Source organism: Homo sapiens, chromosome 18 (genome assembly GCF_000001405.40).
Source record: "Homo sapiens chromosome 18, GRCh38.p14 Primary Assembly".
In the NCBI taxonomy this organism is placed as follows: domain Eukaryota; kingdom Metazoa; phylum Chordata; class Mammalia; order Primates; family Hominidae; genus Homo; species Homo sapiens.
In genome coordinates this window covers 7,995,103-8,022,590 of record NC_000018.10, presented here as the reverse complement: position 1 = coordinate 8,022,590, position 27,488 = coordinate 7,995,103, and the positions used below count along the sequence as shown (strand labels likewise).

The 27,488-nt window shown below is 38.6% G+C and overlaps 1 protein-coding gene and 1 non-coding gene across 37 annotated transcripts in view; both read right to left on the bottom strand.

Moving 5' to 3' along the window:
- The window catches only part of PTPRM (protein tyrosine phosphatase receptor type M), an 839,541-nt gene that overhangs the window by 384,266 nt on the left and 427,787 nt on the right, over window positions 1-27,488 (bottom strand). The gene's annotated exons all lie outside the window — the stretch shown is intronic.
- On the bottom strand, window positions 26,806-27,021 carry LOC124904381 (small nucleolar RNA U3). The gene has a single exon (XR_007066495.1). It is a non-coding gene; the product is annotated as a small nucleolar RNA U3 (small nucleolar RNA).

Below are 27,488 nucleotides of genomic sequence, written 5' to 3'. Positions count from 1 at the left end.
CGGTGGGTGGAGACCTGTTATGGTTTCTGTCTAGGTGACTGTGTCTGAGTGATCTTCAGAGATCCCTTCAAGATTCAGATTCACAACTGTGCCAGGAGCTATGAAATGATAAGGATTATATACAAACAGTAATGAGCAAAAATTAAGTGTAGCAGAAAAGACTTAGAAAACGCTTTCCAAGCTTCCATGCCTTCTCTGCCTGGAGCACCCTAAACAGCTCAGTCTTGTGCTCTTACTCATGTGGGGTGTAGCAGGTAAAAGAAAGAAGTATCAAGAGCAACATAAGCGCCATATGATGGCTTCAGGTGTTTTTCATAAATTCACAGTGAGTCTTTTGAAGTGGTCCTCTCTTCTACAGAAGTAAATCCCAGAGATTACTTTATTTAAAGTGTCCCTGACCCTGGGACAGCCCTCAGAGAGAAGAAAAAATGAAGGGAGGCAGAGACATGGGGGTGAGGGGCAGAGAGAACTGGCTTAAGATAGGCTTCCAAGTCCTAGACCAGTTCTCCCTATGAGGCAGGCCTGTATTCTTATTTTCCTTTTTTCATTATTGAATTTTATTTTTATTTTCAAACATAACACCACAAAATACAAATTTTATTCCACAAATCTATAAATGTATGTGCTCATAAAACTGATAGAATTTATATTTTATCTGAAAATATCTACTGATTAGTCTAAATTTACTGAGATGTTAGAACAAAATTAGGCCAGGCATGGTGGCTCATGCCTGTAGTCCCAGCATTTTGAGAGGCTGAGACAGGAGGATTGCTTGAGCCTAGGAGTTCAAGACCAGCCTAGGCAACACAGTGAGATCCCATCTCCACCAAAATAGACTGGATAAAGAAAATGTGGTACAAATACACCATGGAATACTCTGCAGCCATAAAAAAGAATGAGATCATGTCCTTTGCAGTGTGAAGATGGAAGCCAGCAACCTCAGCAAACACACACAGGAACAGAAAACCAAACACAGCATGTTCAAACTCATAAGTGGGAGTTGAACAATGACAACACATGGACACAGGGAGGGGAACAACACACACCAGGGCCTTTCGAGGAGTGGGGGGCAAGAGGAGGGAGAGCTTAGGACAAATACCTAATGCACGCGGGGCTTAAAATCTAGATGACGGGTTGATAGGTGCAGCAAACCACCATGGCACATGTATATGTAGGTAACATACTTGCACACTCTGCACACGTATCCTGGAACTTAAAGTAAAATTTATATGTGTGTGTGTGTGTGTGTGTGTGTGTGTGTGTGTGTGTGTGTCTCTTTTATGCTTAAGCACAAATCACTTGGTTTTTGTTACTTGGAATCAAAAAAGCTTAAGTAATATACCACAGCACCTGCAGGACTGTTTGAAGCCGCCATGTCATATCAACACATGCCTGGCTCAGAAAGGCTTGTCGCCAAGTACACAGAGTATTTTCCAACATAATTTTCTAACAGAGCACACAGCAGGTCAGTCAACAGGTACTGCTACTCAGAAGACCCTAGGCTCTAAAACCTTTCTTGAAGTCCTTCTGACAGGTGTTTCCAACCAGAATCCCAGGCATTTATCATCAGAGTTTTTGTAGTTACAACCAAGTCCCAATACTGCACTGGAAACAAAAGGCTTGGAATGTGCCACTGGAACTGTGTCTGGGAAACTTTGGTGAATTACAAGTGCAGGGGCTTTACAAATCCGAGTCCCACACAGAACGACACTAAACAGTACCTCACTGAGCACGTTCAGGTTCTGTGCTTGCCTCTGCTGCACAGAAACGACATGCAAAAATGGGTGTTGACTGTGTTGGGTGGCTGGCACTTCTTTTTTCTCTTTCATTATCACCAATGAACAAAATTGTCAAACAATTGTGGGAGAAAAAACTCGGAAAGAATAGTGTGCAGCACAATATCAATAAACCATGATTGGGCTGTAAAGGCACCAAGCCAGTACTGAGAGACCAGGAAGTGAGGCAGCTGATTAAGCAGAGACACCCGAAACATTCCAGTAGCTAGGAGAATATTTTATGTTTAAAGAGATTTTTAAAAATTCTCATGGGTCTATAAATCCTTTGAAAGGTATTTTCATCTTGCTAAAACCTCATTTGAAAAACAATTTGGAGCATTACAGAAGTCTTAGACTTTTTTTCCCCTCTCAAATTTTAAACAGTCACAGGACTAGGAAAATTCTTCTTGACCACATGCATTATCCTTCAGACACAGTGTAGAGAAATACTGAAAAGGCTGTGCCTGGACTCTCTCTCCTTCTTTACCCATACTGACCTGCGAGTCCACAAACACTGAGCATCCCACTGCCATAATTCAAAGTAAATGAATGGTTATTTGGACAGAGCACTGCGGATGACCTCTGCCACACGCACGAAAAAAAGATTGGAGTGAGAGTGCAGTTTTATTTAAGTAAAAAGTAATAAGCACAAAAACTTCAGATACTTTTTGTCACAACTAATTCGATAAAAATAGCTAAGGAGCATTAATGCAAACAGTTAATGATAAATGACTGATTCATATATACTAACAGGCATCATCAAGCCTTCTCCTTGGCAATAAGACTTTGTAAGTGTCAATTCTTGCTATCCTAAGATTATCAAAAAGAAGTAAAAAGGTCCCCTTTTTAAAATTTAATGATGAACTTTCTCAGGAGGATCTTTTCCTAAGTTACTCTGGGTTGGTAGGGATTTAATGCATGAGAACCCAAGAGCGTTGGGTTAAATTTATAAATTAAATAAGTTAAATTTATATATTTAAACAAGTATATTATAAATAAATATTATTTATATTATATTATAAATTATTAGTTTATAATTATTAAAATGATTATAAAAATAAATGTTTATAAATTATATATTTATGTTTATAATGAACTTCAAGTGCATTTTACAAAGGTGAAGCACCACCCCTAATCCTCCTTGTTTAATTCCAGATAGTAAACAAAGGATAAGAAATAAGAGGTGGATATAATTGAAGGGTTTACATTAAAAAAAGAAAAGAAAAGAAAAGAAGTAGGAGGAAAATAAAAAATGTTTTCTTTTCCACTGCTGCATAGTTTTAAAAAATACTGAACAAAGACTAGAGAGATGGTGAAATTATAAGAAATAATGACCAAATCAGAAATATGACCAACAAATCCTAAGGTCTATCACGCCATTTTGTCAATTGTGTAGAAGAACACTGCTTTTTACATATGTTCCCACAAGGGCCAAAACAAAAAGAGAAATTTAGGTAGAATTTTCTGATTGTGAATGAATTAATTTACCTCATTTAATTCTTATGAGTCCAAGTAATGTATGTTATCAGTACTTACAGATAAAACAAATTCATCAAATTAGGTAACTTGCCCAAAGTCATTCAAATAATGAGTGACAAAGTCACTCCCAAAGCCACCCCTTCCTCCTTCAGTGACCTACGGGACTGACACTGCACAACAGAATCTCAACGTGGTCCTTCTGTGCAGAGTGCAGTGAACTGATGACACTATCTATCTAGAAGGTTTTGCTGCTGCTCTTTTTATTCAGTGCTTTTCTAAGAAGCCCAAAGCCTGTCACAGATATTACCTTATTAATCTTTACCATTTATCTGGGTATACTGGTTTTGGATGTTATTACTGTCGTTATTACGGATGGGAAAATTAACGTGAGCACAAATGTCAGCAAGTGTGTGGCAGCTTGGACTGGAAGTCTTGCCACCTAATACATAATCCAGGGCCCTAGTCACTAAATCTTGCTTTTTGTGATACGGCAAAACACACAAGGCCATGCTACTATTAATCTTTAATGAAACTGAATGTCACCTATACTATTCTGAATCATCATTCAGTTTCTAGTATAATATTCAGTATATAGTTAGGTTGACCACATATTCATATATAAAGGTTGAAAGAAAATCCAATTTACTTTCTAAAATTACATAAATTATTAACATGTCACAACAATTTTACATAAAAAAAGGGAAATTAATTTGCCCATCAATTTACACTCAGATACTTTTCCTCTCTTTAAGGAGTTGATTCTCTATTATTGTGGATTGATTATTTTTCCTTTCCTTAAAGAATTCTTAAAAATAATAACAGCAATGTGATAAATGTTTCATTTCCTGTCCATCAGCAGCAGAAGCTCCTTCTGCCCAGAGGATAAATCGAATGCTCTGTGACAATGAGGGGTGCGTAACAAGCAACTTGCAGCTCTGCTCAAACTGGGTTCACCATGCTGCTTCTTCGTTTTACAAATGCACAGCAAATACAGCTGCATTTAAAAAGGTTCCTAAGGTTCCCCCCAAATACCTAATATTATTGTTTAGATATGAACTCTATGTTGCCCAGGCTGGAGTGCTGTGGCTATTCACAGGCACAATCATGGCACACTCCAGCCTTGAACTCCTGGGCTCCAGCAATCTTCCCTTCCCGCCTCAGCCTCCTGAGTCTCCATAAATGCCGTTACTTCAGCCTGGAATTCTCTCCTACTTTCCTTCTTTTATCAAGTGCAGTCTTACCTGTCCTTCAAGGCTTGGCAAAAAGACCACTTCCTCACCTCAGCCTTAGCTGACATGGGCTTCAGCATTGGCCCATTCTCTTGGGTCATGTAACATTTTAGTAGTTCTTGTATTTAGCAAGAAGTTTCCATTTGTACCTAACAGTTTCTATGATCATTCTTTTTAAGGCTGTAAGCTCCTTGCGAGGTGGGGCCAGAATTGTTTTATCTCTGTACTTCCCAAGCACAGTTCCCTATTTACGTCCCAGGTTTTCCATGAATGCTTGGTGGATGTAGTGCAGAGACCTTTGAGCTACAAAGTTCTTGGGTCTAGTCAAAGCAACAGTGGCCTTTGTGATATCACCTACCTCAGCTATTTCACTTGTAAAGTGGACTCATGATACCTGCTCCTGGGAACTTGTTTTCCTCACTCCAAAGCAAAACTGGAAATATGCTTTGTAAATTTTTTTAGTAAAAAGTGTGTTTATATAAAGCACTGAGGACGCTCTAATTTTTTTTTTTTTTTTTTTTTTTTGAGAAGGAGTCTTACTCTGTTGCCCAGGTTGGAGTGCAGTTGCACGATCTCGGCTCACTGCAACCTCTGCCTCCCGGGTCCAAGCAATTCTCTTGCCTCAGCCTCCTGAGTAGGTGGGATTACAGGTGCATGTCACCGCACCCAACTAATTTTTGTATTTTTAGGACAAAATTTTTGTATATTTTTTGCATGTTTTTTGTATAATTTTGTATTTTTGTATATTTCACCATGTTGGTCAGGCTGGTCCCAAACTCCTGACCTTGTGATCCGCCTGCCTCAGTCTCCCAAAGTGCTGGGACTACAGGCATGAGCCACCACGCCTGGCCTAATATTTTTATACTATACAAGTATAAAGTGTCATACCTATATGTGCATGTGTTTAAGGATAAAATGTGATATACTGTGTAAAACACCTGAAATAATAAATACGTGGTCCTTATAACATATTTGATCCCTTTGAATTAAAGACATGCTTAAAATAAATACTGTCAGGAATTAGCAAGAAATAGAGCTACCCCACTCGTATGTAATTTATAGATGAATGTAGAAAAAAAATCGGTATGGGTTTATATAATGAACATGCAAACCCTTTCCTATAACTATTACTGTATTATGTAAATGTTGGAACCAGAGAGAAACCAAAATCTATTAATGCGTGAATATTGGTCAGCCATGTAGATGAAAGAAAATGAAGAGAGGCAGAGGCATCCCCTCAAGCCTTCACTTCAGCTCTCTGCTTGGAAAGTGTGATCATCTCCAGATTATTGGTATGGATAGATAGACGTTCTTTTAAAAATGAATGCCGCATTTCTAGTGACCAAATTAAATCAACAGCAATGTTAATGATCTGTTGTCTGTCTTTTGTAACTCTTGTCAACTCTCTTGTCCTTTCATTTCTGTGACCACACACTTACTTTCTGCTTTGCCCTACACCAATCTGAAATCAGTTCCTTTTGAATGTACCAGAAAGAATGTGTTTATACAAAGCTTTGAGGACTCTCAAATATTTTTCTTGTGTTTTCTTTTCTTTTTTTTCTTTTTTTTTTTTTTTTGACAGACTCTTGCTCTGTCACCCAAGCTGGAGTGCAGTGATGCAATCTTGGCTCACTGCAACCTCCGCCTCCGCCTCCGCCATGAGAGGTTCAAGTGACTCTCATGCCTCGGTCTCCCGAGTAGCTGGGATTACAGGCATGCACCACCAAACCTGGCTAACTTTTTTATTTTCAGTAGAGACGAGGTTTCACCATGTTGGCCAGGCTGGTCTCGAACTCCTGACCTCAAGTGATCCACTCGCCTCAGCCTCACAAAGTGCTGGAATTACAGGTGTGAGCCACTACTCCTGGCCTTTTAAGTTTTCTTTAGGTGAGGTTAATTATGATGTTTATGTCAAATATTCAGAAGCAAAAACTTGATCACCCATTTTCTTCCATCAGCCAGCAGGAGTTCAGGTTCTTGCTTCTTCCTGTGTATCCATCCACCCTTTCCACCAATTATATCTTTTTCTAGTAACACAGCACTTCAGGACCACCTTAGGTTCATTCCAAAATTTCATTTCAGTGTTTACACAGGAAGAAGGATCCTAGTTAAAAGACTACACTTCTTAGAAGACATTTTAGGTACTATTTTTTGTTAATTGATATTTCGAGGTCTCATACATTTCAGGAGCTTTTCCAACTAACTTTAGTATTCACTCCAAGATTAATTCAGATAAATGCAATTTTTCCTACCTGTAGGCACCTAAAGAGTTGTTGGGGTTTGTGTGTGTGGGATGGGGAGTGCATTTTTCATTATAATTCTAATTTAAAAGGTTTAAAAATGATAAATGATCAATTCTACACTTATCTTTAAATTCATTAGTAATAATACACTTTCAAAGTTCAGGATAAATTATTTCTTTCTTCAACACTTCAGTATTTAACCATTCTTGTCACAGATCCCTTGGAAAGGTTCTGCTCTAAATTAATTTAAAAACTATCATACTAAGTATAGTAAGCCCTATCAAAGTAAGCAAGGTTGTCAATCAGAGTTGTCAATCTGGTTGTCAATCAGCCTTTCAGGGACTCAAGTCCCCAAGTGTTATCCAGAGTTAGCAACATTCTCTTTGTTGGATTTGAAGCTATGTTTCATATTTCAAATTGAGTATAAACAGCTTTAAATGAGAAGAAGACTTCACTTAATTTGAAAAAGGTAGAGGTTTGAGAAGCATATTTAGTTTTTGTCATCTTTAAAATAAAATGAAATAGAAAACCTAACTAGAGAAATATTATATTTATTTAAAAATATGTGTCAATCAACTGTTTCTGTTATCAGTAAGGCTTCTAGTCAACAGTAGGCCACTGTAGCATGTGGAGCAATTTTGTTTCATTTTGTCTCATTTTGTCATACACCTTTGTGTTAGGGTAGAGGTTGGGGTTGGTGATGGAGAATCTGTTCCCTGATATTTGTAGTCACATAGACATGAGATGCCCTTTCTTGCTATGACTGAGTCACCAGTAAGTTCACTAAGCCACATGCACAAGTGTGGAGTTATTGAAAGGAGGCTACTCCTGAAATTTGGTGAGCTTATCAGAATAAGTTCTACTGGCGCAGCCAAACAATAGTCCCAAACATGAACAGTGAGGGGCAGAGATGAACAACCATTTTCTCTGAGGCACCAAGCAAATACTAGATCATGAAAAAAATTCTGTAATTGACAATCTCCTCTGGATTCACAGCAATGCCTTATTGAAATGCAACTTAAAGAATGAGCTATTACAAAGGATAATCCCACTGGTTTTTCATCACAATTTTTGGCACTAAATATGGACATTTCAGTGTATTTGGTGTGTGTGTTCACATATGTGAGATACGCACAAGGGTATAAATGAGTGTGTATATATCCTTCTTAATTTATTCTTGTTAATTTAGACCCATCTACAAATTTTCAGACAGAACACAATTTCCTTTGTATTTAGATCTATTTTGTACACTATTCCTTAGTCTAATATATACTTTTACATTTCATTTAGCAGTAAACAACTGAAGCATTATGTATCCATAAAAGGCAATTATCCTAACCGTTCTAATTATCTTATAACACTTGCACTTTTTTCCTTCAGTGTGTGAGTATACAAATGTTTGCTTTGTTTAAGAAAGGGAAAAAATGGAGACAGAAAGGATGTACTTTTTAACAATTCACTAATCCAGGAAAATGTCACTTCTTCAAAAACAAACAAAAAAACCTTTGAAATAACAAAACAGGAAAAATAAGATTTTCAGTCAAAAGATTACTTATCATGAAAAACCAAATAATTTGCTTAAAAAGGGCTTTCTAAATTGCTTTAACTTTTGCATGTTATTTTTTAAAGTTTAATTGCCTAAATTCCTGGTGATAAATTTTTTTCAAAAAATTGACCGAATATTAATTTTTTGTATTCTAAAGGTCATGAAAAAAGTTACCTAATTTCCTGAAATCCTAATTAAATGAAGCAAACCAAAATAAGATCTCATTATTCTTATACTGCCTCTGTTTTAAAAAAGAGAGAAAAAACTGGAATTCATGCTAAAAACCTTAGGTTTATTCATTTTAACTTGAATTTGTTGTTTATGATGAAATCTTGAGTTTCGGGATGATATGTTTAGATATAATTTTCACTAATGGATGTAAAAGAGCTCTGTACCTAAAACATGTATTCATACTTTTTTCTTAAAAGGTCTAAATTCTTAATGCTAAGAAGTATATTATCTAAAAGTGGAGTTTTATAACTCCTACAGTTTGATATTTTTGAAGCTACAGAAAAACTTTGACAAGCTCAAATAGATTTTTCTCCCCAAAATGAGTACATGGTCATTTCAAACTGACCCTGTTATCCTTGAACTAATGGCGTTCCTCCTTCACAGTGGCCAACAGAGGGGATGGTATGTACCCCAGGAGGCTGTGCAGCTGACCCTTGAACAACACAGATTTGAACTGTACGAGTCCACTTCTATGTGGATTTTCCTCCATCTCTGGCACCTGAGACAGCCAAACCAACTTCCCACTCACTCCTGGGCCCACTCAACCTGAAGACAACCAGGATGAAGATCCACCTCCACTTGATGAATAGTAAATATATTTTCTCTGCCTTAAGACTTTCTCAGTAACATTTTATCTTCTCTAGCTTACTTTGTCATAAGAATATAGCATGTGAAACACATAACATACAAAATATGTGTTAATCGATGGTTTATGTTATCAGTAAGGCTTCTGGTCAACAGTAGGCCATTAGAAGTTTTTGGGGAGCCACAAGTTAGACGTGAATTTTCAACTGTGGTTCCCCAGCCCCTACACTGTTCAAGGGTTAACTAAAACAGATTGGTTCATAATATTTTCTGAACCAATTTGAAAATTTTTATTTTCAAACAAATTGAAAATTTTTATTATTTAATACTATTTTCATACTGCTTTTTGAAGGTTTTTATGCTGGTGAAACTGAACCTGTCCTTATAAACATGAAGTCCCTAAGAATAGTGTTTATACCAAGATAGGGGACTTACTTAACTGAAGTCCTCCTCCATCTTCCCCTCCCTTCTTGACAGGAGCCCTGCAGGACAGGGTTGGGCTAGCAAATGGCCTTTTGCTACCACTCTTCCTCCTCCACCCTCCCCAGTGCAAGAGGCAGCACGAGGCCACTGCCAATCACCCTTGAGTAGTCCAGCTCTTTCATGTGTTTCCCACTAGTCTACATTCTGGATGAAAAAAAAATACACTTCATTTGAAAAATAAAAAATTCAATGAATTATGATCCCTTTTGCTAAGAGACAGCATTTCAAAGTGACAGGTTTTCACAAAATGACAAAGATAATATACAGACATGTGCTGTATAATAATGAACCGCACATATGACGGTGGTCTCAAATGAGATGGTACACCTTGTTTTTATTGCGCCTGTTCTAGGTTTAAATATGTTTGGATACACAGATACTTACCATTGTGTTCCAAATGCCTTCAGTACTCAGTACAGTCACATGTTATTGACTTGGTAGCCTAGGAACCATAGGCAACACCACATAGCCTGGGTGCATAGTAGGCTCAACCATGTAGGTGTGTGTATGTGCACTCTATGGTGTTCATGCAATGATGAAATCGCCTAGCAACACATTTCTCACAAGGTACCCTGTCCTTCATCGAGGCATGATTGTAATTAGAAGGCTGAAGAAAGCCAGAGGAAGGTCCTGGCAGATGCCAAGTTACCATTCTGGAGAAAATCTTCATGGCCTGTCGATCTGTCACAGAAATGAAAATCCTTTAGAGCCTCTGGAAACAAAAAATGGCATTTCTAAAGTAACTCTTCAGTTTAAAATAAAAGCAGATGTACTATTTCCCAAAGTTGTATGGAATCAATAAAGGAAATTATGTATCTAAAAATACAAACTACCAGAGGTCTAATTACTACTTTGAAAAAGGTGAGAATTCACTATAGTGCTCAAGTAGCACAGGTCAATGCCCCCCAGTGGCGTCTCTCCAACTTGCAGAACCGTGACCACACAGATAGGTCCACTAGAGAGTAACCAGAAACACAGAAAGGGAAACCACGGTGGCAACAAATCCTGGTTTTCTTCTCTACAAAAAGGAGGGATGAACTATGAGAAGGAAAAAATGTGCAAGGAAACATTTCAACTTATACCTATTTCTATACGTATAATTTGGTCATGTTACTAGAAATGATTTTAAGGTAAGTACTAATAAATTCGTATTTTTCCTTTTCAAGGTGAAGGAGGGATCCCTTCTAAAAGGCACAGGTAATATCAAATTGTCCTTAGCTGTGTTATAAACATGATACCTTGAGCTTCATTCTTGATATTCTAGTTGAACTAATTAGCCACCATGCATTCTGCATGTCACCTGTGATAATTTTCTTGGGCAGTTATTTCCTAATAGCTGCAAGGGTGAAACTCTAAAGTCTGCCTTTGCATTGGAAAGCTAGGCTGGAAAGACAGGAGTAGGGAATCATTGTAACAAGTCTCATATTTCTGCAAAAGTCCCCTCTAGGCTACAACAGTTTGCTTTGGGCAAAGGGTGACTCAGAGCAATGAATAAGTATCAGAAGTAAAAATGATCAAATATTTAAATGAGCCTAAATATGGGTTAAAAGAAACGGGAATGTAGTGAAACCATGAAGAGTGAAACCTCTGTGACTGGCACAGAGGGCTAGAGATTGATGGCTGTGAAGAATGATCATCAGAAAGTGTGCCCATCAGTCCTCCCTCTCCAGGAGAGAGTCCCTGCTTGCCTGCACCCTCCCAGCAATCAGGTCCTGTTTCAGAGATTTGGGACATTGATATTTCAGCTGCGGTTTTCCACTGCCAACATTTGTCTCCAATCTACCCTCTAACCTGAGTATACCTTATCTACTCTCTTCTATCTGTCCTTGTATAATTTCAACCCAAGTCAAATCCTTTGCTGCTCTTCAGGCCCTAACAGTCCCTCTTTTGGGAAAGCCTGTTCTGTCCGGAATAGACACTCCATTTATTCCAATCTAGATTTTCTTAAATCAAAATACTTTCCTCATCCTAAATATCCTGAATTACAGGAAAGGATCTTGGGCTGGGTTCATCAATGCCTCTTATATGTTTTGCTTTATTTTTGTTTTACACCACATTCAAGGAGATTCTGTTGTCAAATTATCTTCATGACATCCAAACATATTCCCAATGAATCTACCCTGAAGCTCACCTCCTTCTCCTGTCTTTCATCTCCTGCAGTCTATAATCTTTGTATCTCTATAAGCCACTTTAAAAGTGAATCTGGCTCAAAGAATTTTACCTCCTTTCCCTGCCTCTTCTTCTGACCTGTGGTTTTCAAAGACACCTTCAGCCTCAAAGTATGCCACCTCCTTAAATTCAGATCCTACCCTCCCTGACCTCAGCCTCCCATGTGCAAGGCTGTCTCTCCCTCCATCTCACCAAGTCCATGGGCTCTTCCATCCTCCTTAACCCACCTGCCCCCATTCCTGTGCTGCCACCCAGCCTGGGCAGTCACAATATGAACATTTTAACATTTGTTTCTCAATTCTTGCTGTTTTCAACATGGTGAATCCTCTTTCTTGAACTGGGTCTTTCAGAATGGACAAGGTTTGGGCAGGCTGTGAGACCATGAAAACAAAACTCAGTGGTTTAGGGAACAGGACATTTCTGAGGTCTGGCAGTCAACCATACTGATGGGTACAGAAATTTCATAAATGGAAATAGTATGAGATAATGATGAAAATCTGGACAAAGAAGATACTTTTGTACTTACCTTGGGAGACAAAAAGTCACCGAAGGCTTTTGAAAAGGGAAATGCCTTGACCAAAGAGATTTTAGGAAAATTAATTTGGTAATGATATTAGGAAAAAGGAAGACAACAAGGAGTTGTCTTATAAATCACAAAGCAACCCTAAAAAGTCACCTAGTCTAGGATGTACTCATGTCTCTGTATAACATCCCATTACAGAAATCACAAATACTACAAAACACTTCTAAAAATAGATATTCTAAGATTTTCTACTTTATTTCAGGATGGAACAGATACTTACATATAAGAAATACCCATCTGATTCTAACCTAAATGTCTGTTCTTAAATTTTAATTCCCAAATAATTTTGTGCCTTACTATTAGTAGGAATGTAAAGTAAGTTTATATTCAGGTAGGTATTACAGTTCACATTAAAAAAGAAACTCAGGAAAAAAAGAGGGAAATAGTTTATTATCTCGAGTTCTAGTTTCTTTCATTCATTATAGCAAAGTAAATTTACTATATTTCCAAATGGAAGGTACACTAGATATTATTTAGTCCAACTGACACATTTTACATGGAAGAAAAGGGAGGTGTAAAGCAAAAAGTGATTTTTTTATTTTTTATTTATTTATTTTTTTGAGATAGAGTCTTGCTCTGTCCCCCAGGCTGGAGTGCAGTGGTGCGATCTTGGCTCACTGCGACCTCCGCCTCCTGGATTCAAGCGATTCTCCTGCCTCAGACTCCCAAGTAGTTGGGACTACAGGCGTGCGCCACCATGCCTGGCTAATTTTTGTATTTTTAGTAGAGACGGGGTCTCACCACATTGGTCAGGCTGGCCTTGAACTCCTGACCTCGTGATCTGTCTGCCCTGGCCTCCCAAAGTGCTGGGATTACAGGCATGGGCCACCGCGCTCGGCCAAAGTGATTCATTTAGTTTCTTAGCTAGTTGCTGGAAAAATCAGGACTCCAAGTTAAGTAGGTAATGGGCTCTTTCAGGCTTTCAGGGTAAAAAAAAAAAAAAAGTTATGGAAGCCAATAAGGTATAACTGCCTTATTCACTGTCTCCAGAAGCTTCATCTTTTAGCCACATCCTTCAGAATGACAGCTAACATCAACTGAGCACCTCACAAACCAGGCATCGTACTCCACACCTTACATACAGCACTGTTAATTCTCACCCAGCACACAAGATGAAGCTATATCGGAGAAGCTCCTTTGTTTGAAATGTCCTTGCTCTCTCCTCCTCGCTTACTTAAGAACTGCCTGCCCTTCGAAACTCAGCTTAAGTTTCCAACCCTCTGTGATGCCTTCTCCTGTGGCCACCGATAACTACAGCATCTCCTTTGAGGGGCTTGAGCATTAAACTGTCTTCAAGCCAGGACCTTCAGCCACCAGATTTTAAGCCTCCTTACAGTGTTATTAAGCACTTAATATTTACTCAGGATTTCTCTTTCTAGACTCTGAACTCCAAATGGTCAAGACTCAGCTCTTGTATCTTTTCATATTCCTAGTGTCTGCTGAATAATGTCTGCACCAAAATGATGGCGTCTGGAGGGAGCGAGGTCAGTGTGGATCTCTAAGCACGTGCGTGTTTCTATGGAGTTAAGCACCAGGGAGTCAGGGCTTCCTGCAGCAACACTTTTCTTTAAGCAAGCCTCCAAAAAGTTTAGAGAAAAGGAAAAATAACATTCACATCCAAAGCTACAGGAAGTCAAAGAGAACAATTCATTATTTTGTCTCTGTCAACCAACCACATTATTGAACCCTACATCACCCAAAGTACAAATAAATAACATCACTAGTTATTTAAGTTTTGAACTAAGGCATTCAAGAGCTAGGATGGGGAACGCTTTTTTCTTTTCATTCTTTAATTATCTATTCATAAAAACAATAAGTAAAGACCTTTTATTTTAAAATATAAAACAAAAAAGTGGATTTTTCTGTTAAGATTTTTAAGCTGAAAGATCAAACTTTTCCCCGACCTTCTTCGTCAGCCTTTAATTTTCCTATAGTTGGTCTTGTCAGCTGCTGTTTATTGATTTCTCAGTGATTTATTCTGCATTGTGCAGAACTGAACTGCCGACCTCCTACTGTACACAGCTGATCCTCTGCAATTTTATGGTAAGTGGTAGGAGGAGGATGTGATATGGGGCTGGTAGCAGGGCAGCTACATTAGCATCTGATTACACAGGCACTAACCCCAACCCAATGCCACTTCAGTCGATTTTCCATTCTTCACACAATAGCCAAAGTGCAAACACTTCAAAGGGATTTCAGGAATAATTTCCACAGAAATATTTCCCAGGTCTTCAATGTACCCTAAAAAATAGGCAAAGATGTGCTGTCACTTTAAAAATAAAGACAGCACCACAAGCGGGAAGGCACCTTCCAGCCCAGGCAGGAACGCACTTACCAAGGGGAACTCAATGAATAAAAAAGATCGATTCCTCTCCTAACGTCTTTTAACTATTAGATAAGAATCTACCACCAGAAACAATTGCAATGTATGAAATAATTTAACATATAGTTTTCTATCCAATGTTATCATTCCCATGTTTGGAATGAGACCCTCAGTGGCCAAGAGCGGATTTAGTACTGACTCTCTAACCTAGAGGCCCCCACCACTGATTCATCCTGTTAGCTATCTCCATGCTTTACAACAGTGGGTCTCAACCACGGTGTCTCAGACATTTGATCAATTCCAGTATCTTACTGCTTGTTAGATCGGGATGAACAGTGGTCAGACATCTCCTTTTAGATCTGTTACAAACTGATGGCTTGCTGGGCACTGTTAGACAAGTCACTTGATTTTGCTGTGCTTTAATTTCATTTGAAAAAGAGATAAACTATTTACTGTGACTGATTCCAGAATGTTCCCTAATCATAAAAATAACTTGCAACACTTTGTAATTTGTAAAGGGCTTTAGCAAGTAAGTGAGGCTCCTCTGGATTGCTTTATGGATTTTTGGAAGGGACACAATCTGATCCACATGATTCTCTTACCTGCCTGCAAAAAGGAAAATAATAATAATAATAATAAAGAATGTTCCAATATTAGAGATAGAACGCAGGTACCAAGTGTTTTGAGAAGCGTATGTTAGTAGGGAAAACTAAAGGTGGTATTTATCTAACAAATATTTGCTCAAGAAACAGATCCATTACCCAACTTGTCTGATCATAAAAACCACTGGCACTTGTGAAACTGCAGATTCCTAGGTCCTACCCCTGAGATTCAGAATCAGCAAGTGAGAGGTTGGTTTAGATAAGCTATGCAAAGGATAATTATCTAGAGGGAATGATGCGGTTTAACACTGGGAGGAGCACAGATCTAGTCTTACCTTTTGGACAGAGTTGACAAGTATCCTACAGAGAAGTGAAATGGAAATTAAACTCTTAGGAATATTGAGAACAAAATAATATGTATTTGTTATCTAACTGAGGTAATTTCCTAAAATAAGACTTCAGAGAATCTCGAATGGATTCAAATGACTTGTTGGAGAAAATCCACATTAAAACCCACACTTAGATGCAACAAGCGGCCACTTTGCCTGTGCATCTTTTGCAAACCCACACGAGTGTTCTGGGTGACACCAGGGAAGACAAAGAACTGTGGCAGTGTTTGGTGTGACTGGTGCTTCAGTGTCAGGGACCCAGCACACCACAGCAGTTCTAAAATCCTGAATCTGTCTGGGGTTGCCATGGTTTTGGGAATATAAGATCCTCCCAGTTCTACCCATGGTTTCCTGGAGAAAGGGCAAGAAATATGCCAATTCCACTCCCGGGAAAAGCCAAAAGATGAGAGAAGCAGGAGGAGGAAGCCTCCTTTACCTGTGTTGTTTTGTGCAAGGATGCCTTTGGTGCAAGTATTTTCTCACAAAGTTTGTGATAAATTACACAGGAAGGCCAGAAAGGAAGCCTCATAATGTAATATGCAAATGCTTCCTGCTAAACATTTATTATGCGAACAGGGCCACTGTAACTCATGTGGCTCTCACTCATGGAAACACTGATCATGGCTATGCATAGCATACAGGCCCATTATTCTTAAAATGAAGTTTTATAAGGAAATTTAAATTTCACTGAGATGTCTTCAAAGTATTTATAAATGTTTACTTGGGACAGAAGATATGAGCTAGTAATCACAGAGCAGTAGCTATTAGCTATGCAAAAATAGATTTATCTTAATTACTAACCACAACACAGATCAACCTGAGCTGACAGGCAGCAGGCTTAACAGCAGCGAGTTGGAAGGTCTCAAGTTCATATGCTCCGACAAACCCTCACAAGGGCTCCAGCAGCATCAGGCAACCCATGAATCCTTTCACCTCTTGCTCTGCTACGTCACTGTAATGCCAAATAAATTAGGTTCCCGCTTAACACGTGGAGCTCCACAGAGCCTCTGTGATTCAGGGGATTTTCTGAAGGATGTCCCCAGCTCTAATATAGCACTTAAAATTATTTTTAATCAGGAAAAAAGACTACTTATTCCACAATTAGAAATTAAAAGGCTTAAAATACAAAAGACAGATTGAGGCAATATTTAAGTATAAAATGAGTGTCAGCTGTGTAATAATAGTAATAAAATGACCTTTGAGAACTGTAATCAGAGGAGGGGAAGAGAGTGAGCAGCCCTGAGGGACATTAGGCTCCTGGGACAGGGGAGGTCACCCCTGAGGTGATAAAAAAGGCACCACTGCACAAAGAAAAATACTGCTGGAGGTGGGGCCAAGAGTCTTGGATATGAATCTGGGCCCTGCTATTCACTCGCTATACAATTTAAGGAGTTTTCAATTTTCTGAATCACAGTTTACCCATCTGTAAAATGGGCATATGTCAACCTCAACCACTGATCTGGGAATTAGATGGGATTACTTATGTAAAAGTAGTTTGAAAAAGATAAAGGTGTGTATCAAAGTGAGGCAATATTTCTGCATTAGAAAGCTAGAACTAGAAAATAAGAACTTCCCAGAGATGTGACTTTGAAGAGAGCCTGTTTGTTTTTTAATAGGATAAAGACAAGAGGTAATATGTGAAGATATTTTAGTTATATACGTATAAAAATCAGATGGCTCTACTTGAGAGGGTTTATGAATTTTTTTGATTTATTTGTAACACAGTTGACTTGAATATCAAAGGGCATTCCTTAATTGAGACAGACATTTTCTACAGTTTCGTTGCCCTGCCTTTGAGTATATTTTTCCATGCAACCATTCACCAGCCATGCCCAAAGGACCATTCTTTAAATAAGTTCTGAAATAAATTTAACACTTAGCTATACAAGCTGCACATGTGCTTTTGGAAAATACAATATAGTGTATGCTCATCATTTACATAACCAGACAGCTGGAGTCTACAGAAATGCAAATTTTGTCATCACTTATATGCACTGAAAACATATTCTTCACTGAAATGCATGGGTGAGGGGGAACCATTTGAGGGAAAAGAGTTAGCAACAAATTCAATCCTTAAGTAAATAAAAAAAGAAATCAAATTTTCAGTAAAAGTAGGGTAAACGGCGATTGCCTTGATCTGATTCTGTGTTTATTCCAACTTGTGGCACGAGCCACAGGGCCCCCCATAAGCTCTCCTCCTGGCTCCTTCTGGCTTCGTGCAATCTATAGCAATTACTAGGTTGGTGCAAAAGTAATTGTGTTTTTTGCCATTACCAATTACTTTTGCACCAGCCTAATAGCTGTTGAAACATTGCTCCCTTTCCTGATGCCATCGGCTTTCCCTCATTATGTCTTTCATCCCTCATGCCAGAGGTCAGTCATCTTCTGAACTGAATTACTGGGGGCTGCAAGTAATACTAACTTGGGCCCATCCTATCTTTGCAAACTCAGTTCCAAGCCTGTTAGAACATTTTCTTTTTTTTTTTTTAAAGTTCACTAGATAGGCAGGCAAACAGCCAGTCAAAATATGAGAACTCATGCCAAATGTTATCCATTTGAATTGCCTGAGTAATTTTTCTACGCAATTCCCTATAAGGCAGACATTACTCACATGGCACACACACACAATTTACATAAAAACATAGGCTAGATCCACGAATTGCAAAATTACAGTGATTCTATGGATCCCTTTCATAAGGGTCTTATCCAACATGCCCCTCTCAACCCTTACTGTAAGTAAGTGGTTGCTTTCAGTTTGGTTTTCAAAACAATTTTCAGCGCACTCTCAATCAGAGAAAGTGACTTGGAGTAGAGAAATTCAGTGCACAGCTGAGATTCCCCCTCTGTCATGTTCTCTGAGGCCCTATGAAATTCCTGAATAGGTCAGTCCACAAAGGAAGCATTTCCATTTCCTTTCAGAGACGTGGAATTTCCACATAGTCAACACTGGGCCATCAGAAAAGTTTAAGTGCTTTTGAGGGCTGGAAGAATGCACTCAGCTCCCATTGAAATGAATGACTGAACTTGGTGCTTCTATGGCCAAGAAAAGGAAAGCGAATATTTATCTTCCTTCTTCCCTAAGTTTCTTTAAGTAGAATGGTCACAGACAGAAGGCCAAGAGGCAACACTAGGAGAGCAGGTAAGGAATGCCAGCTTGTATGTAATAGGCCCTCAAATGTGCATTAAATGAAGCTGTTGAACTAATGATGCAATTATACAGATGCAAAGAAATACACAATCTCTTAAAAGCATTCGTGTCCATAATGTAATTAACTCCCAGAATTTAGTTTAAGGCTTTAAGCCACAGCTATGACTTTATTTTTGCCTAGTAATCTTGAAGGTAACATGAGGACCGGAACTGATCCGTACTTTATTCAGCAGATGTGATACGGTGCTCAGACCATCTTCTGCAAGTGTAGTCATCAGATGCCCTGGCTGAGGCACCTTCCTCTCTCTTTCTAAATCTGGAGAATAATTCTGTTGTCTATACTGGAAATGGGATGCCCAAATTTGCCAACTGTATTAGTCTGTTCTCATGCTGCTAATAAACATATACCCAAGACTGGGTAATTTATAAAAGAAAGGGGTTTAATGCACTGACAGTTCCACATGGCTGGGGAGGCCTCACAATCATGGTGGGAAGCAAAGGCACTTCTTGTCTTATGTCGCCGTAGGCAAGAGGGAGCTTGTGCAGGGGAACCTCCATTTACAAAATCATCAGATCTCATGAGACTTATTCACTACCACAAGAACAGTATGGGGGAAACCACCACGATTCAATTATCTCCACCTGGCCCCGCCCTTGACATGTGGGGATTATTACAAGTCAAGGTGAGATTTGGGTGGGGACACTGCCAAACTATATCACCAACACTTTTTCTCAGCCATGGCAAAATGAGAAACACTCTGGGTAACAGCACAAAAGCAAATGCCAGACTGTTTTGTATATTTCATCTTTTTGGTCCTAATAGAGAATTTTTAGAGAATTCTTTGATATTTCAGTTTTTAATCAAAACGAAACATTTGGAATTAAAAAAAATAAGAACTCCTAAAACCCATTAGTCTCTCAAGTTGTCAAATCAGTGGGCAGAGATGTATCAGCATTTCTTGTCCATCTCAGCCTGAGAATTGCAATCACGGAGAAATGTTCTGTGAAATCCACTTTACTCCACCTCTGTTGGGGATGATACTTTATTGGTTCTCAAACTTTAAAATGCATCAGAATCACCAGCAAGACTTGTTAAAACAAGATTGCTGGGTCTTGCCACTCAAGAGTTTCTGATTCAATACATCTGAGTTGGAGCCTGGGCGTCTGCATTCTCCAGGATGCTGATGCTTGCTGGTTTGGAGACCACCCTGTGACAATCACGGACACAGGAGAATACGCAGAGCTGGTTCTCACAATGGTGGAGAAAACAGGGTCCCCATCTTCTCCCAGAGTCATGGATCTTTCTTGCCAACATTCTGCATTCTCATACCAGGCATCCAAGGATGTGACATTATGTCTTTTCTGCCTGTGGTTCTGACTTTTGCTTTGTTTCAAGTCTTGCTTACTTCTAACCTACTCAAGAGCTAGCATGCATTCAGGTCAAATCATACCTGGTAAGGAATTATGTGCTCTACTACCCAAATGTCTTGTCCTGATGGCAGGACCTTCATTCCCTTCTGAACATTTGCTTCTAAATGTTATCAAGGTTTTTAGAAACAGAAGTGAAATAACAAAATGGAGAAACTATGCATATATGCATCTATTCAGCATCCAGACACCTAAATGTCTATTAGGCACTCTTTCCAGATGCATTTTCTGCCTTGGGGGAGTGCTTCATAAATCTAGATAGAGTGTGAATGTCAGTGGATGGATTACCGGCAATTTTTCTATGATCTCATCTCACGTGGTCCTCTAATGGCCAAAATAATCAGGAGCAGTTTTCCACATTTAACAATAACTCTTTTTAAGTTCTGAAACTTAATGGCATTAGCTGAGGCAGAACTGTTCAAGGAAACCAAAGGAAACATCAATTATGACACACAGCAGGTGCTGACAGTGAATGTTGTGCTAGAGGCCATAAATCTATGTCTTAACATTGGTAGAATATGATGTGTTCAGTAAGACCATTCTTACTGCCTTCTGCCTGTAGGCTTTCCAAACGCCTGACATGGCTACCTGATGTTATTCAATCTCACCAGGCCAACTGGCTGCTAGAGCTCAGCAAAGAAAAACTATCAACTGGCTTTTTATTAAGGAAGATTAGGCAGAGAAGGGGACATGGGTTTTGGGAGCCATACAGACTTAACTACTGGATTCTTGGAATCACTTCACAATTATTGCTAGTTTTGGAATACATACCTGAGAATAACTCTATAAAGTCACAAAAGCCAGTGTGTATCTAGGCTGGTGGAGGGGCAAATAAAAAAAAAAACAAACCTTTCATCCAGTTGTCTAGCACCAGAAAACCTTTAGCCTGAGTGGCAGTCCAATCTCTCAGCAGCTCCACCTTTCGAGCCAGATACACACACACCCATTCGCATGCACCAAATTTCACTTCAGAGAAACCATAACTGGACAATGGCCTGTGACACACAAAACTGAGGAGGTGGCAGTAATTATCTCAGCAATTCTGTCAGCAAAGACACTAGCACTTACAGGCCTAACTAGGCTCCATCCTGGAGTTTACGAGGAGTCTATCGCTATCCCCTAACAGAGGACACAGGAAAGAAATGTGCCAGCCCTTCTCAGCAGAGACTTGCAACGAATTCAGACCCCTCGCCAATGCTGTCAGAGACAGCAAGAGGTGGTACAGCTGCTGGACCCATGACTTCAGGCACATGCTGAATGTAGCATGTTACCCTGCTCTCCTTCAAAGCTGCAGTTGCTCACTCTTCTGCCCCCAATCAGACATTTCCAGTTTGCTTGAAAATGCTATTTTCACTAAACATTTTAGAAATGGTGCTCTCTTTCCTAGGTGCCTGCAATGTTCCACCCATTTATTGCCACCACCATTCTTCATAGGCCAGGAAGTCATTTGCTATGTTCCAAATTGAGTAGTTTATTCAAGTGCCTGCCACTGCTGGAGAAGAATGTGAACAAGTCTTTGGAAAAGCACATAAACGTTGGCAATTGTAAAAGCTACTTTCTTGACTTCCTATGAAAGAACATTTAGTCTGCACTGCCATCCAGAACTGATTTTCTTCTTTTCTTGTGACTTCATGATATATGGTGTGAAATGGATGAGGCGGTCACCATAAGGTGTAACTCTATGTTTCTATCACACACAAAAAAGGTAGGTTTAAAGATGCCACTTTAGACTAATGTCCGTGAACATAAATATTTATTCCTAAGGATCCTATTCCCAGCTTGATTTTAGATGTGCTCATCTCTTTGCTTAACTAAGCACCTCTCTACAACATCAACAATTATCTTGGCATGTAAATATGAATTGAAGCTGGGCCCCCAAGTGAGAATTCTGTTATTCAAATACACCTGTAGAAATCCAAACATATTATTTTATATATTCACTTATTGGCACACAGTAAGACCATTATACATCAAAAGAGGGGAATAAACAAATTGATATGATTAATAACAGACACATGCCACCTTAATAAATGTATCTGCTGACAGTTTATCTAACTATGGACTTTTGCCTAAATAAAGCATCATATTCAACTATCTACAATTTAAATGTAAATTCCTGGCATTCATGATTCTGATGGTTGATTTTATGTGTCAGGTTGACAAGGTGAGAGGCAGCCTAGACATCTGGTGAAGAATGTTTCTGGTGAGGGTGTTTCTGGGTGAGTTTAACACCTGCATCACGTTACTGAGCAAAGCAGATTGCCCTCCCTAATGCAGGTGGGCCTTGTCCAATAGAATGAAGGCTGAATACAACAAAGAGACTGGTAATTCCCCTTGCCTGACCGCTTCTGAACTGGGACATTGTTTTTTGTTTTTCTTTTTGTTTTCCTGGCCTTCAGACATGAACTGAAATATCAGCTCTTCCTGGGTCTTGAGCCTGCTGCCTTTACAACTGGAACCACACCAGCACAGGCTCTTCTGGTCTCCACTTTGCCAACTGCAGATCTTGGGACTTGCCAGCCTCCATACATGTGGGCCAATTCCTTATAATAAATCTTTGTGTGTGTGCACACACATATCATATTGGTTCTGTTTCTCTGGAGAACCCTAGTACAATAATTTTCCCACATTTGAGCATCTGTCTATCTTGGAACCTTCTCTGTTACTACTCTTTCAAAACAAATGCTCAATTAGCATCAACACATTATATTAGGTTGGTGCAAAATTGTGTATTTTGCCATTGTCAATTTTGCACCAACCTAATACCTTACCACTATCTCCTAAACAACTGAAAGTCCCTCCTGCAAACTGTCATCAGTACTGTCTTCTGTGCCTAGCATCCCATCCCACTTGCCTCTGCTCAGAGAAGGATTGTACCTTCTTTCCAGAAAGCCCAGCTCAAGGCTTGCTTTCTCAAAGGACTCACCCCAATCACCTAGCCTATACTGATACTATCATCTGTATCATTGACTTGACTCTTATGGTAAATACTGGTTATATACCAGGTTCTCAATAACACTGTCTCACTCCATGTCATCTGGTTATAACACCGATGAGAAAAATATGTCAATTTCTAGCCAGTGCCACTGTCTGTGTGGAGTTTGTACATTCTCCCCATGTCTGTGAGGGTTTTCTCCAGGTACCTTGGTTTCCTAACACATCCCAAAGATGTGCATGACAGGTTAATGGGATTCTCTCAAGTGTTCCATTGTAAGTGAGTGTGGGGCTATGTGAGTGCACTCTGCAGCGGAAAGGCGTCCTGTCCAGGGCGGTTCCCACCTGTGTCCTGAGCTGCCAATATAGGCTCTGACTACTTGTGATGCTAAGCAGGAATAAGCAGATTGGAAAAGGAATGAATACAAATTATAAAAATTCATAAAGTATACAATAATCATCCAAATGCACAATAAATAATGCTATACAGGCCAGGGAGAGTGGCTTACATCTGTAATCCCAGCAGTTTGGGAGGCCAAGGCGGGTAGATCACTTGAGGCCAGAAGTTTGAGATCAGCCTTACCAGCATGGCAAAATCCTGTCTCTATTAAAAATACAGAAATTAGCCAGGCGTGGTGGCACATGCCTGTAATTCTAGCTACACAGCAGGCTGAGGCATGAGAATCACTTAAACCCGGGAGGTGGAGGTTGCAGTGAGCTGAGATCGTGCCACTGCACTCCAGCCTGGGCAACACAGCAAGATTGTCTCAAAAAAACATAAAAAAAAATGTTGTATAAAAGTACTTGGGGAGCCTGCCATATTTGTAATTTTTTTCACTATATGAATATTCTTTCTATATTTAAAATATTTAATGCTTTTTTCCTATTAGTCCACAAATATCTTCATGAGGAATAAACGCAGTACTTTTAATAGTGTCATGTTTTAATTTTTAAAAATTGATACATAAAAATTTCACATAATTGTGGAGTACATGTAATATTTTGATGCATGTATACAATGTGTAATAATCAAATCAGGGTAATTGGGGCTTCCAACCCCTTACCCTTCTCAGTCTCTGGTAACCACCATTCTACTCTCTAACTCCATGAGATCAACTTTTTTAGCTCCAACATATGAGTAGAACCTGTAACATTTGTGATTCTGTGCCTGCCTTGTTTAATTTAACATAATGTCCTCCAGGCTCATCCATGTTGCTTCAAATGACAAAACTTCATTTTTTAATGGCAGAATAATATTCTTTTGTGTATACACTATATTTTACTTATCCATTCATCCATTGATGGACACTGGGTTGACTCCGTATCTTCACTATTGTAAATAGAACTGCAATAAATATGAGAGTGCAAATCTCTCTTCAATATACTTATTTCCTTTCTTTTGCAACATACCCAAATACCCAGCAGTGGGACTGCTGTATTATACAGTAGTTCTATTTTTAGTTTTAGAGGAACCTCTATATTGCCTTCCATAATGGCTACACTAATTTACATTCCCACCAACATTGACATGAGAGTTCTCCTTTCTCTGCATCCTTGCCAGTATCTGTTATAACTTTCTTTGGATAATAGCCACATTAACTGTGATGAAAAGTTATCTCACTGTGGTTTTGATCTGCACTTCTCTAATGATTGGTGATGTTGAGCATTTTTTTCGTACAGCTGCAGGCCATTTGAATGTCTGCTTTTGAGAAATGTTCACTTAGGTCACTGGCTCATTTTTCAATCAGATTTTTGTTATTGTTGTTGGGTTGTTTGAGTTCCTCATATATTCTAGCTATTAATCCCTACTTATCCAATGGATAGATTGCAAATAATTTCTCCCATTCTGTAGGTTGTCTCTTCACTTTCTTGATTGTCTCCTTTGCTGTGCAGCTTTTTAAAAAATCTGAATTGTCTATTTTTTGCTTTGGTTCCCACGTGTTTTCAATATTTTAACAAAAAATATTTGCCCAGACCAATGATGTACCAAATCAATTCTCCTACATTTTCTTTAAGCAGTTTCATAGTTTCAGTCTTAGATTTAAGTCTACATCATTTTTATTTGAGTTTTATATTTGGTGATGGGGGTCTAGTTTTATTATTCTGCATGCAGAGATCCAGTTTTCTTAACACTATTTTTTGAAGAGACTGTCATCTCCCTATCGTATGCTCTTGAAGCCTTTATCAAAAACGAGTTGACTATAAATATGTAGATTTATTAACAGGTTCTCTTCTGTTCCGTTGGTCTATGTGTCTGTTTTTATGCAGCACCATGCTGTTTTGCTTATTATAGCTTTGTAGCATATTGTCAAATCAGGTAGTGGGATGCCTCTAGCCTTGTTCTTTTTGCTAAGATTGCTCTGGTTATTCAGGATTTTCTGTGGTTCCATACGAATATCAGGATTGTTTTTCTATTTCTGTGAACAATGTCATTTGTATTTTGTTAGGGATTGCAATGAATCTATGGATTGCTTTAGGTAATACAGGTATTTTAAGAATATTATTTAATAATTCTTCTAATCCATACACATGTAATATCTTTTCATTTTTGGTGTTTTCAATTCCTTTCATTAGTGTTTTAGAGGTTTCACTGTAGAAAACTTTCATTTATTTAAATTTATCCCTAGGTATTTTTTTTTTTTTTTGGTAACTACTGTAAATGCGATAGCTTTCTTGATTTCATTTTCAGATTGTTTGCTGTTTAGGTATAGAAATGCTACCGACTTTTGTTATGTTGATATTGTACCCTGCATCATTATTGAAATTGATTACATGTTCTAATAGCTTTTTAATAGTTTTTAAGGTATTTCTAAATATAAGATCATGTCATCTGCAAACAAGGACAATCCGACTTCTTCCTTTCCAATTTGGAGACTTTTATTTTTTTTCTCTAGCTTGATTTCTCTGGCCATGACTTCCATTACTATGTTGAATGAAAGTGGTGAAAATGGGCTTCCTTGTCTTGTTCCAGATTTTAGAGGAAAAGCTTCAAATTATTCTGTTTGGTATGATGTTAGCTGTATGTCATATATTGCCTTTAAAATTCTGAGGTATGTCCAAGTTCATTGAGAGACTTTATCATGAGGAGATATTAAATTTTATCAAAAGCTTTTTCTGCACCTATAGAGATGATCATATGACTTTTGTCTTTTATACTATTGATGTAGTGTATCACATTCATCGATTTGCGTATGTTGAACCATCCATTTTCCCCTGGGATAAATCTCACTTGATCATGGTGTTTATTTATTTTTTTTTTTAAGAAAGAAAGGAAAGAAAAAAAGGAAAAAAAGAGTAAATGGATAACTTCAACATGCTTTACCTACCAAGAAATAAAAGCTTTTGTCTCTTTTACAAAACCTTGAAGGGAACTAAACACAGCAGACTAAGCAATAATGAACTTTCTGAAATCACTACATAGTAAAAACCTTCAGAAGCCCAGAAAAACCAAGGAATACTGGAATTAGAAAGACTATTTTTGAGAGCCATGTGACAGACCAAGCAGCCCACCCCACAAGGATCCCTTCAGCAAGCAAAGAACAAAGGAAAAAAGCTCTCACTTGACATGTTCTCAAAACAATTTGCCTGCTAAATGTTAAAGCTATCACCCTCATGTACAACAAAAACACTGTTCTTAGTACACAACAATAAAATGGGAAGCACTCAGACTGCATGCTCTCCGTCTTACTCTCCCAGAGGAAGACAAGAACAATCATCAGTGGCACATGGCAGGTGCAGTGAAGCAACACCAAGAGTCAGCTTCATGCTCAGGAGAGAACACTGTGCCTCCTCCTCATGGTTTCCAGTGCTCTACCCATTCAGAGAAACTTCTCTAGTAATGAACTATAGAAATGATCCCTGAAAGTATAGTCTTTGTAACTTTTTAATGTGCTGTTGGATTTACTATGTTAATATTTTGTTGGGGATTTTTACACTTATGTTCATCATGATGATGCCTGTAGTTGTCTTATTTGTTACATCCTTGTCTGGTTTTGGTATCAGGGTTATGCTTGTCTATTACAATGAGTTAGGAAGAATTCTCTCCTTTTCTAATTTTTGGAATAATTGTAGAAGAATCCATCTCAATTCTAATTTATAAATTTGGTAGAATTCAGTGGTAAAGCCATCTGATCCTGGGCTTTTCTTTGTTGGGAGGCTTTTTATTACTGATTCAATCTCATTGCTAATTATTGGTCTGCACAGGTTTTCTATTTCTTCCTCATTCTATCTTGGTTGATTATATGTGTCCAGGAATCTGTTGTTGTTAGTTGTTCCTAATAGTCTCTAATGATTCTATTTCTGTGGTATCAATTGTAATGTCTCCTTTTTGTTCTAATTTTT